At 41.9% G+C, this 13,106-nt stretch overlaps 3 annotated features.

The window, feature by feature from the left end:
- Nucleotides 12,370-12,664: a silencer, noted in NCBI's record as "tiled region #15637; HepG2 Repressive non-DNase unmatched - State 22:ReprW". NCBI's record gives its function as "represses a minimal TATA promoter and a strong SV40 promoter by Sharpr-MPRA in HepG2 cells {active_cell/tissue: HepG2}" and the evidence as "EXISTENCE:reporter gene assay evidence [ECO:0000049][PMID:27701403]".
- Nucleotides 12,370-12,986: a biological region, named in NCBI's record as "Sharpr-MPRA regulatory region 15637".
- Nucleotides 12,401-12,986: an enhancer, noted in NCBI's record as "OCT4-NANOG-H3K27ac hESC enhancer chr9:71922427-71923012 (GRCh37/hg19 assembly coordinates)". NCBI's record gives its function as "activates a minimal SCP1, AML or CMV promoter by ChIP-STARR-seq in naive and primed H9 embryonic stem cells {active_cell/tissue: H9 hESC(naive and primed)}" and the evidence as "EXISTENCE:reporter gene assay evidence [ECO:0000049][PMID:30033119]".

Here is a 13,106-nt window from a genome sequence, read left to right as displayed (position 1 = left end):
ACTCACTATTTTAAACTTTAAGGCCTCAGGTTCCATGGTCCTAGGTTTTTCCCTGAGGAAATCGATGAGTGGTAAGAGCAATTATAACATTTCACTTTGCAGAGAAAGGGCTGTGTGAGGCTTTTTTTAATTAAGAGAGAGAGGAAGAATAAAAGAAAGAAAGAAAGAAACCCTGAGCAGAGCTGGGCAAATCAGGCACTAGGTTTTTCTGAAATAATGGTGCAGACTGGTTGTTAAGAATTCCTAATGCCTCTGGCCCCAAGACAGACTTATTTGTCAAACAGATGAGCTGTAGCCATATTTTTCTCATTGTTCAAATTAAATACTGAAAACTTCTTATCATGCAAATCCCACAAAAGATAATTCAAGCCAGCTGCTTTAAAAATTATTAATGGCTGATCAATTTCTAGAGTAGATAAGCTATACATATATATATATACACACACACATACATACACATACACACACACACACACACACACACATATATATATATAAAATAAAGTGTGTCCTACAAATATGTGAGTGTGTGTGTATCTATGGGTAACCTTATATCAGAGCTTCCTGCGGTTTCAAGTTTCTGTAGAAGTCAAAGCTGTAATTCACCAACGGAGGCTGTTTCTTTGTTCTGGAGAAATCTGTTGAACAGGCCTTTTAGTTAATCAAATGTGAAGCACAGACCCCCGAAACAGATGCTTAGGAGACAGCTGTATGTTAACGACAGAGGTTGTCTTGTAATAATGTGAACAGAGCCACCCATTTCCCGACGAAGGAGCTCTTTGTCTAAGGTGCTTGTCAGACTCACCAGGGAAGCTTCAAAAACTGTATACAAAGTCTAAGCCTCCAGTTGCAGTTACCCTGATGTATAAGGTCTGCAATGGGATGAGGTCTATACAGATGTATTGGCAACATCTCCCCTAAGGTTTGAGATGCACAGTCCTCTAAAGCCATGTCTCAGAGACCAATACTCCTCTTCCAGATAGGGGTTTCTAGTACCTCCATGTGTGCAGTGTGTGTGTGTGTGTGTGTGTGTGTATTCTTCTTCCTGGCAACTACTCATGAAAGAGAGGACCTCAGGCCCCCCAAAGATATCCTGCCAGTCAAGCTGGAGGAAAGACAATAAGAGGGGCTTGGCTTGGGTTCCACACAGCCCATATAGACTGAGCTGTGGATGTCCCTATATGCTAGGCTTTTTTAAGATTGACAAACTTTAACTGTGGGAAATGTACAGATTTGCTGAATTTAAAATATCTTGGTCATTATCCTGCTGAAGGCCACAAAGTCACCCAGGGAGAGAGAGGTGGGATGATCCCTAAGAGGAGAGGGCATAACTGCTCTTAACTGGCCTGGCAGTGGTTATTCCTAGGAAAGGAAATGAGAACTGAGGGAAGTGAAGCTGAGGATGTAGGAACAGCCTAGGTCTCCTGCTAATCCTCGCTACTGATTTTGATTGCCTACTGTATTCAGACTTTGTGTACATTATTCTAATGCAACAGCTCTATCAAATAGGTCTTTGTTTTAATTAGGGCAGAAAAGAAGAGAAAGGAACAGAGGGAAACTTATTCACCTTCGTGTTTCTTGCACCCACAGTTTCTATCTGCCTTTCTCAACAGTCCCTGGAATAGCAGAAAAACAAGATTTCTCTCTGGTATGGTTTGGACTTGTGTCCTCACCCAAATCTCATGTCAAATTGTGATCCCCAATGTCAGAGGAAGGACCTGGTGGGAGATGATTTGATCATGGGGCAGTCTTCCCCCTTGCCCTTCTCATGATAATGAGTGTGTTCTCATGAGATCTGGTTGTTTAAAATTGTGTAGCACCTCCCCCTTCTCTTTCTCCTGCTCTGGCCATGTAAGACCAGCTGCTTCTCCTTCATCTTCTGCCATGATTGAAAGTTTCCTGAGGCCTCCACATCCATGCTTCCTGTAGAGTCTGCAGAACCATGGGCCAATTAAACCTCTTTTCTTTATAAATTACCCAGTCTCAAGTAGTTCTTTATAGCAATGCAAGAATAGACTAATACACTTTCCAAGCAATTTTCTGATACAAAATCACCCTCCCAGCCATTCTGACCCAAGAAATGGGCTGCTCTTGGTAGCAGATGTGAGTTCTGTGCATTAGAAAGCCTTTCACCTTGTTCTCACTTAATAAATTGGCATCCTGACATAGATCAGTCTTTTGTGTCAGGTGCCTTTTTTCTTTGGGGCATTTAAACTTACTGTTTCATCTGTTAAGAACATTGTTCTGTGCCTAACCCCTCAGTCCCCAATACCTATACACACATTTCCCCAGGGCACTCTTACTCACCCCTAGGTTACAGATTGAGCTCATTTTTCTCAAGAAGTCTTCCTTGATATACCCACAAGGCCCCCCAGAGACCAGGGCCTCAGGTCTCTGGATCTCTGAGTCAGAGCTGTTTCTATTTCACTATGCTAAGGTTCTGAGTCAATGTCACATATGTAGGGGACACAGCTTTGTTCCAATCTGGGCAGCATGGTGCCTTCTGGGCTCTCACAGTCACTGTCAAACCTAGACACTGCATGTGGTATGAAGCCCCTTGGGCCACAGTGATGACTTAGAGGGCATGTGGTTTGATGAAGGAGCTCTACATGGAAAATCGAGACCTCTTGGTCAGATTGGTTCTGTTGCTGCACCAGGGCCTTTGTATCAGCTGTTTTCTCTATCTGGAGTGCTCTTTTCCCAGATATGTCCCCTCACTCCATTTACTTCATAGAAAAACATTTTCTGACCTTGTCAAATTTGTCACTTCTCCTCCTTCTTTCCTCCCTATCCCTTTATTCTGGCTTTCTTCCTAGTACGTATCACCATCTGACATTACATTGTTTATCACAGTCTCGTGACAGTATGACAAATGTAAGCTCCATGAGGGCAGGCACTTTGTGCTGAATAACCTGATATTCTCATCTCATAGGGTTGTGTCTGATAAATACGAATCAATAAACTTTTACTGAATGAATAAATAAATGGATGGTCTTTGCCTTTTTTCTTATCGAGAGATCTTAGGCTAGTCACATCACCTGTCCAGGCTTCAGTTTTTTCCATCAATGGAAGTGTGGTGGGGGGAGGGTAAGGAGGAGTTTATCCTGGATTATATCCAAGGTCTCTCCAGCTGCAACACATACTTCTAAATGCCAGGAATATATAGATCTTTGCTCTCTTCTTGACGTCATTCAATGATTCCTTGGTCTTCTTTGAATAGGAATATCCTGATTATGAATCATCGCCATAAATACAAAGAAAAATGTTTGTGTGTGTGTGTGTGTGTGTAAGTGAAGCTGAAAGGGAACTCAGGGCCCCAAAGCCCTGGTGTCAGGCTACCTGCCACTGGAATATCAGGTGTCCCATTCACAGAGGCTATGTTACCTGCCAGCCTCAGAACTCTAACCCCAGAGAGCAGGGACCATGTCCTCTCCTCAACTCAGGGCTTTGCAGCTTAGGATATAACTAAGGATAAGCCTGACTATGAAAGACCTCTGAGGAGACCAATGTAACTACCAATCAAACCATGTTTGCTGGGATGGGGAGGGTGAGTGGAGGCTTAAGGTAGGGGTGGGGGCGGGGCGGGGAGTGGTGCATGGTTTTCAGCTACTTGGAAGTGGTGGGTGGATGCAGTCTGGGGAAAACCTCTGAAGATCCTGAGGAATTGAATTTTAAAATAAGGCCATTAACCATAGACCTTGTAAACAGAGACCCCAATGGCAGCACAAAGTGGAAGGGTAGAAATGCTGAGTGGACTTAACCAAGAGTTAAATCTGAAACCGCTCCAGAGAGCAGTGGCCTGTGGAGAAACCATGGAGGGCATTAAAGAATCAGAGGGAGAGAGAAGATAGTTACTGGACACTTAATGTCTTCTAATGTTAATGTCTTATGCGACTTCAGGCACATTATCTCATCTAACACCAGCAACAACCATGGCAGGCAGTTAATTTTTACCCATGTAAAGGTGAAGAACTTGAGGTTCAGAGATACAAAGCAACTTTTTTCTTTTTTAAGACAGGGTCTTGCTCTGTTGTCCAGCTGGAGTGCAGTGGCGTGATCATGGCTCACTGCAGCCTCAACTTCCTAGGGCTCAAGCGATCCTCCCACCTCAGCCTCCCAAGTAGGTGGGGCTAAAGGCACATGCATGCCACCATGCCAGGCTAATTTTTGCATTTTTCTTGTAGAGATGAGGTTTTGCCATGTCACCCAGGCTGGTCCCCAACTCCTGGGATCAAGTGATCCACCCACCCTGGCCTCCCAAGTTGCTGGGATTAAAAGTGTGACAAAGTGACTTTCTTAAAGTCAAACTGCAAAACCAAAGCAAAAACCTAGGCTTTCTGACTTTTAATTCAGTCCCTTTCCCCATATATCACAGCAATATTTTGCTTGTAATTTCATCATGATTCAGGAAAGCACGGCAGAGGGCCCTTGAATGGCTTAATTAAAGAAGACAACTTCAATTCTGTCTGTTTGTCCCTTTCCTGGGATTACTCTTTGCTCTGCCCCAACCATGCCCTGGTCAGGGCTACCATGTTCCTGACTGACTTTGCCTCTCTGTCTAGAGATTGGATCTGGGGCAGGCACCTGACCCAAGAAGGCCTGTTAGCATCTCTCTTGTGGGCCATAAGAGGTCGGTTTGTGCCAACACAATGACCTCATCATTGTGAACTCAAATCGGGTAAATCTGTGAGAGAAGTTCAAATCAAAACGTGGGACATCTCTCTTCATATTTCCTAGAAAGTTTTTTAATCAAATTTAACATCCATTCCTCTAAATGAAAACAGCCAGTCATGAAAAGACCACATATTATATGATTCCATTTATATGAAACGTCCAGAAAAAGTGAATTTTATAGAGACAGAAAGTATACTACTGGTTACTTAGGACTGGGGGGAACAGGATATAGGTAAAGGGTATAGGGTTTCTTCTCACATGATTAAAATGTTCTAAAATTGACTACGGTGATGGTTGCGAGTATCTGTGAATATACTAAAAACCATTGACTGGTAGACTTTAAATGGGTCAGTTGTATACTATGTGAATTATATCTCAATAAAGCTGTTCAAAATGTATTCTTGATTTTTTAAAAAATATCTTAATAAAACAAATGACATAATTTCTTAATGTTATTGTTGATCTCAACATCTTCAAGAGCATGTAAAACAGTTTTCATTAAATTTAGAAGTTTAGAATGTCTGTTATCACCACTTTAAATATTTTTCTAAGCTTTTTAGCTAAGCAATGACAAATATTTGAAAGAAGAATAATTATCATAGCTTCAAATATATGACTTATGCCTGGGGAAAAAAGTAGGATAACACCAAATATCCAAAACGTGCACGAATAGAAGAATCCATCAAATTCAAATAATTTTAAAGTTAAATAAAAAGCACGTTTAGGTATCATAGGTTTCTAACAATTTCAAAGTTGGATATGACTTTCATTTTACATAAACGTCACGGAGGCAGGAGGATCCTTTGGGACCAGAAGTTAGAGACTAGCCTGGGCAACACAGGCTAAAAAAATTTTTAAGGAAAAATTTTTAAGAAAAAAAATTTTCTTAAATTAGATGGGCATGGTAGCTTGTGCCTGTAGTACTAGCTATTTAGGAGGCTGAGGCAGGAGGATCCATTAAGCCCAGGAGTTTGAGGCTGCAGTGAACTATGAATACACAACTGCACTCCAGCCTGGGCAACAGGATGTCTCAAAACAAAACAAAACAAAACAAAGCAAAACAAAAAAAGCCACGCAAGGGCAAAACCAATCAAGTGACCTCTTGAGAGGGATTTGTAGATTTCATGAGTAAGCAGTGACTCAAGTATTTGGATAAACTGAATCTAGCTAGTTGTCTACCCAACTCACATTTCTTTTTTTAAGTTTTGAACCCTATCACAGACACCAAAGAAGCCAACATCAACAGTTCCATGGTGTCAATGCCTGGATGTCTATAGCTCCGGGTCTCACACCCTTTATTTCCAGATTCAGCCTTTATTTCCAGATTTAAGTAATCCCACTTGATACGGTTTGGCTTTTTGTCCCCACGAAAATCTCATGTTGAATTGTGATCTTCAGTATTGGAGGAGGAGCCTGGTGGGAGGTGACTGGATCATGGGAGTGGATTTCCTCCTTGCTGTTCTTGTGATAGTGAGTGAGTTCTCAGGAGATGTGGTTGTTTAAAAGTGTGTAGCACTTCTTCCCCCTACTCTCTTTCTCTCTCTCTCTCCTGCCACCATGTGAAGATGGGCTTGCTTCCCCTTCCCCTTTCCAACATGATTGTAGGTTTCCTGAGGCCTCCCCAGCTATGCCTCCTGTATAGTCTGTAGAACTGTGAGTCAATTAAACCTCTTTTCTTTATAAATTACCCAGTTTCAGGTAGTTCCTTATAGCAATGTCAGAACAGACTAATACAGAAAATTGGTACCAGAGAAGTGGGACATTGCAGTAAAGATACCTGAAAATGTGGAAGTGACTTTGGAACTGGGTAAATGGGCAGAGGTTAGAACAGTTTGGAGGGATTAGAAGAAGACAGGAAGATAAGGGAAAGTTTGGAACTTCCTAGAGACTTGTTGAATGGTTATGATCAAAATGCTGATAGTGACATAGACAGTAAAGTCCAGGCTGAGGTGGTCTCAGATGGAGATGAGGAACTTATTGTGAGTTGGAGTAAAGGTCACTCTTGCTATGCTTTAGCGAAGAGACTGGTGGCATTGTGCCTTTGCTGTAGAAATCTGTGGAACTTTGAAGTTGAGAGAGATGATTTAGCGTATCTGGTAGGATAAATTTCTAAGCAACGAAGTAGTTATGATGTTGCCTGGCTGCTTCTAAAAGCCTATGCTCATTTGCATAAACAAATAAATGACCTGAAACTAGAACTTATATTTAAAAGGGAAGCAGAGCATAAAAGTTTGGAAAATTTGCAGCCTAACCATGGAGGAGAAAAGAAAAATCCATTTCCTGGGGAGGAATTCAAGGCTGCAGAAATTTGCATCAGTAAAGAAGAGCCAAATGTTAATGGCCAAGACAATGGGGAAAAGGCCTCCAGGGCATTTAAGAGACCTTTGCAACAGCCCCTCCCATCACAGGCCTGGGGGCCTAGGAGGGAAAAATGGTTTCATGGGTCAGGCCCAGGGCCCAGCTGCTTTGTACAATCTTGGGACATGGTGCCCTGCATCCCAGCCACTCCAGCTCCAGCTGTGACTAAAAGGGCCAAGGTACAGCTCAGGCCATTGCTTCAGAGGGTGCAAGCCCCAAGACTTGGTGGCTTCCACATGGTGTTGGAGCTACAGATGCACAGAAGGCAAGAGTTGAGGTTTGAAAACCTCCACCTAGATTTCAGAGGATGTATAAAAATGCCTGGATGTCGAGGCAGAAGTCTGCTGCAGGGGTGGAGCCCTCATGACGAACCTCTACTAGGTCAGTGCAGAGGGCAAATGTTGGGTTGGAGCCCCCACACAGAGTCCCCACTGGGGCACTGCCTATTGGAGCCGTGAGAAGAGGCACACCATCCTCCAGACCTCAGAATGGTCGATCCACCAACAGCTTGCAACATGCCCCTGGAAAAGCCAAAGACACTCAATGCCAGCTCATGAAAGCAGCCATGGGGGCTGTACCTTGTAAAGCCACAGGGGCAGAGCTGCTCAAGGCCTTGGGAGCCCAACCTTTGCATCAGCATGCCCTGGATGTGAGACATGGACTTGCATGGAGCCTGCAGACCCTTTGTTTTGGCTGGTTTCTCCCTTTTGGAGCAGGAGCATTTACTCAATGCCTGTACCCACATTGCATCTTGGAAGTAACTAACTTGCTCTTGATTTTACAGGCTCATCGGTGGAAGGGACTTGCCTTGTCTCAAATGAGACTTTGAACTTGGAATTTTGAGTTAAAACTGGTATGAGTTAAGATTTGGGGGATTCTTGGAAAGGCATGATTGTGTTTTGAAATGTGAGAAGGACACAAAATTTGGGAGGGTATGGGAGGGAATGATATGGTTTGGCTCTGTATCACCACCCAAATCTCATGATGAATTATGAGATTCATCTTCAGTATTGGAGGAAGGGTCTGGTGGGAGGTGATTGGATCCTGGGGGTGGATTTCCCCCTTACTGTTCTTGTGATAGTGAATAAGTTCTCATCTGACTGTGTAGCACTTCCCCCTTCTCTCTCTCTCTCTCTCTCTCTCTCTCTCTCTCTTACTGCCATGCAAAGATGGGCTTGCTTCCCCTTCACCCTTTCAATACAATTGTAAATTTCCACAGGCCTTCCCAGCCATGCCTGCTGTACAGCCTGTGGAATTGTGAGTCAATTAAACCTCTTTTCTTTATAAATTACCCAGTCTTGGGTAGTTCTTTATAGCACTCTGAGAACAGACTAATACACTCCTTAACTGAATTGGTACCATATCTCATCTAATTTAAGACACCATTATTTGGGGTATCACTAAGAAAGACTAACTGGTGTCAATTAACTGTGAGGTGCCATTGAGTATAAGATACATCCCTATTTCAGAGGTATAAAAATGTGAGAGAAAAATAAGGTACATCTTAGGATAAATAAAATTACATTGGTGAGTGAACATCTTTTAACCCTAGGAAAATTTAGAATCAAGTCTTCTGAGATCCCTGGAGTTCTACTAGTATTCCTTACTGGATACAGGTTTTAATTTTGGGAATATTAAAAATTAGGTATTAAAAAGTTCAAGGGAATCAAAACCATGATATTAACATTTTGGTGTTTGGAAAGACCCTATATATTTGGAATCATTTGTGTTTGTAATATTGATGAGAGTTTAACCTAGTAGTATGACAGTCTTTTAATTCTGATTTAAAAATACAATTGAATTATGAAGTTAGACTTATGGTACTATGTTGAAATCCTACCAAGTTCATTCATAGTATTAGAACATCTAAGAGAACTTCAGATTCCCCTTATTTACAAGGTTGATTTATTGTATTTATACTAGCTATTTAAGTGCTCAGGAAGATTTTTTTGTTTTATTGAGCAATTAAAATATTTAAGAATAATATAAAATATATCAAATTGATTATGTTTGAAGTATTGAAGCAGTTTGATTAACTGAGTCTTTAAACAGACCAAACAATATTTAAATGTTCCTTAAAAAGGGACTGTTAACAATTGCTACATTAATAAATAGAATGTAAAGTTCTGTAAGAACTAGAGCAATAATAAATTGCAAACAATGTGCTTCAACCAAAAGTAAACTTCTGAAGAGTCTTTTCTCCAAGTAAAACCCTCCCTCAAAGTTACCATAAAGCTCAACAATTCAGAAGGGCTCATGGCCCTAGCTGGCCAATCAGAGTCCTTGCTTCGAATTCTTCAAATTGACTCTGGGAAAAAGGGTTCGTTTTCTCTGGTAGTGAGACCTTGCAGTCTAAGGTCTTGTAAGCTGTCTCTGGCTTTTTCTTGGGCTGTGTGGAGGAATCCACTCTGTATGGAGAATGAAGCTGACGGGCAGAGAGAAATAGAGGTAAGACTCAGAGAAAGAGAAAAAAAGATTGAGAGAGAGAAGGTGTGTGTGTCCTGGTGGCCTTCAAGTCCTGGTTCCAGCTGTTCCAGCTGCACATCACACTTCCTGCAGTCAAGTTGTTCAATTCTTCCTTTAATTACATTGAATATCTCAGTATCTTTCCAACAAATTCTTCCTTTCTATCTACTTTGATTTGGATTTATGCCTCTGGCCACAAAAACATTTCAGTATTCTCAGACATCATAATAAATTCATGTATTGTTGTATAGCAGGAAGACCTCAGCTCACAGAGGAGGAGGTGCATTGTAGTCAATGTCACCAAGTTGTTAATAATGATTAGTCTTGAGAAATTCTGCAGAAAGAAAAACTGTTAATAGTCACAGATAAGAAGGGCAAATATTATGGAGTCTCTTCAGAGCCTTAAAAGACCTATTGAGACCAGGCACGGTGGCTCACACCTGTAATCCCAGCACTCTGGGAAGCCAAGGTGGGTGGATCACTTGAGCTCAGGAGTTTGAGACCAGCCTCGGCAACATGGCCAAACCCTGTCTCTACAAAAAATACAAAAAATTAGCTGGCCATTGTGGATCTGCCTGTAGTCCCAGCTACTCGGGAAGGCTGAGATGAGAGAATCACTTGAGCCTGGGAGGTGAAGATTGCAGTGGGCCAAGATTGTGCCACTGCACTCCAGCCTGGGTGAGAGAGTGAGACCCCCAAAAAAGAAAAAAAGGCCTATTGATTGCAGAAAGAGAATTCTGACATATGCTACAACATAGATGAAGTCCTTATACTAAGTGAAATAAGCCAGTCACAAAAGGACAAATATTGTATGATTCTACTTATATGTGATACCTAGAGTAGTCAAATTCATAGAAACAGAAAGTAAAATAGTGGTTACCAAGATCTAAGGTGGGGGAAGCGGGAGCTGTTATTAAACAGATTTAGAATTTGAGTTTTGCAAGATGAAAGAGTTCTGGATATTGATTACACAATAATATGAATGTACTGAATACTACTGAACTGTACACTTAAAATGGTTAAGATGGTAAATTTTATGTTATATTTTACAACAATACAAATGTTTAGAAGCCAAGCGTGGTGGTACATGCCTGTAATCCCAGTAACTTGGGAGGCTGAGGCAGGAGGATCACTTGAGCCTAAGAGCTTTAGGCTGCACTTTGATGATCTCACCCATGAATAGCAACCACACTCCAGCCTGGGCAACCCTAAAAAACAATACAATTTTGTTTTTAATTTCAAATAAAAATTCAAAGGGTTTGTACCCATAACCCTCCTTTGTAAGAGAAGTCAACAAAAAGTATCCATCCTACCCCTCTCTCCCTTTCTCCCACTTCCTCTACCCAAAGGCAAGCGATACTCAGTCTTTTCTTTTACCAAACATACTCCTTGTGGGGACATTGTAAAACCACACATCTCCACCCTCTTGATGTTGGAAATTGTTATGTGACTTGATCTGGCCAGTTAAACATCACTTTGGAGCTGATGCTTTAAAAACCAGGGAATGAATCACCATCACCTCTCATCTTGTCTTGACTCCTTTATTGTTTGACCTATGTTGATGGATGCCTGTCACTTAAAACTGAAAGAATACGGTGTAACGGAGGCAGTTAGCTCCTGCAGAAATGATGTGGTGTGAAAAAGTGAACAAAGTTCTGTGGAGTGGCTCACTGTGTGCAAAAGGAGTCTGGTGGAGGGAGAATCAGAAGAGCTGACCTCTATTCTTGTCCCTGCCACTAGCTGCCTATGTGGCCTGAAGTAGAGCAGTTTTCCTCTCCGGATCTCAGAGTCCACATCGGTAAAATGTGAGGCCTGGGTCAGGTGTCAAAGGATCCTCTTGGCCATAAAAAGCTAAGACTTTGTCTATACTGTTAGTGTCCTGACATAAATATTCCTTCCTGAAGAAGGCACAGGGACCTATATCTAATGCTGGCTTCATTGTAAACACTATCCTCATCTCTCCTAAATTTTCTTGACAACAGCATAGAAGTTAATATGTACATCTATTTCCTAGGGCCTTTATAATAAATTACTACAAACTTCGTGACTTCCAAGAACAGAAATATATTTTCTCACAGTTCTGTAGGCCAGAAATATGAAATCAAGGTGTTGGCGAGGCCATGCTCCCCCCCAAGGCTGTAGGGGTGAACCCATTCTTGCCTCTTCCAGCTTCTGGTGGTGCTAGGTGTTCCTCGGCTTGTAGCTGCATCACTCCAATCTCTGCCTTTATCTCCACATGACCTTCTCCTCTGTGTGCCTGTGTCTTCTCTTCTGTCTCTTGTAAGGATACCTGTTGGATTTATGGTCCACACAGGTAATCCAGGATGATCTTATCTCAAGAACCTTAACTTAATTACCTCTGCAAAGATCCTTTTCCAAATAAGGTTACATTCACAGGTTTTAGGGATTCAGATGTGAACACATATTTTGGTGAGGGTGGGGCACCATTCAGTCAGGAAAGTATGTGTGAAGATCATGTTAAAAAGCTGTAAAAGAAGCGCATGGCTTAATATATGTTACAGGCCCCACCGAAATGATCTATAAAGAAGACAGAAAATAAACCATCACCAGCTAGATATTCCCTTCCTCCACTCTGTCATGTTAATAGCCCACCTGGGGAAAATTCCAGAGCTAAAAAAGTAGCCAGGTGGCTCTTTTTTTGTTGTTGTTTTAAACAAAAGATCTCAAAGTGGGCCATATCGCCCATCTCATTGTTTGCTCCTTCCACATAAGTGCTAATGTGTTTGATTATATTCTGCTCCAAATTCCACTACAACCACTAATATAAGGCACATACAGAGAATTAACTGTGTCCAAACAGTTCTTTCCTCATGCCCTCATTCTTCTTGAATTTTAAATGCCTGTTGAACAGAAGCATTAGAGTGTTTATTTTCTGAAAACCTTCTGGAGAGCAATCACCTTGTCTTTTCAAAGAAGCCATACTGTGTCTGGTTTTTCCATTCCAAAAATAACATAGAAATTCTTAGAGACAGTCATGTGGCAGAGAACCAAGAGCTGGAATGCAAAGCTTTTGTGTTTCTTGTGGAAGGCCTCTTGAGTACTTAAGTAGTTACATTCCAGCTTCACAGGGAAGCTGAAGAGGGGCAAATGCAGTAAGGAGAGTACTTGAGGCAGGCCTGGTATTTCTCTTCCATGAAATGCCAAGTTTGGTCATGTCCTGGAGAAGTTAGGGTGCCCCACAAGAGGTGTTGGTACCGCTGTAGTCTGTGAGGCTACCTGAAGGGAGACCACGTCTTCCGAGAAATCTAATCACCAGCTGCCTACAACTTCCCCAAACACCCACCTGAACACTGTTTTACTCCTGACCACCCTCACTCTGCAGAATCACATGACAGCCCAACATTGTTACTTCACCTAGTGGCAAGTATGCACATCAATTTTTTCCATTCCCTTTCCTACCGTAGTCTTTCTGTCAGAGATGTTTGAACCAGAGCAACTCCATCTCGAATAAGAACTGGGTAAAATAAGGCTGAGACCTACTGGGCTGCATTTCCAGGAGGTTAGGCATTCTAAGTCACAGGATGAGATAGAAGGTCGGCACAAGATATAGGTCACAAAGGCCTTGCTGATAAAATAGCACCAGGTAA

The sequence above is a fragment of the Homo sapiens genome, chromosome 9 (genome assembly GCF_000001405.40).
Source record: "Homo sapiens chromosome 9, GRCh38.p14 Primary Assembly".
Taxonomy (NCBI): Eukaryota; Metazoa; Chordata; class Mammalia; order Primates; family Hominidae; genus Homo; species Homo sapiens.
This window is presented reverse-complemented; position numbering and strand designations above follow the sequence as displayed.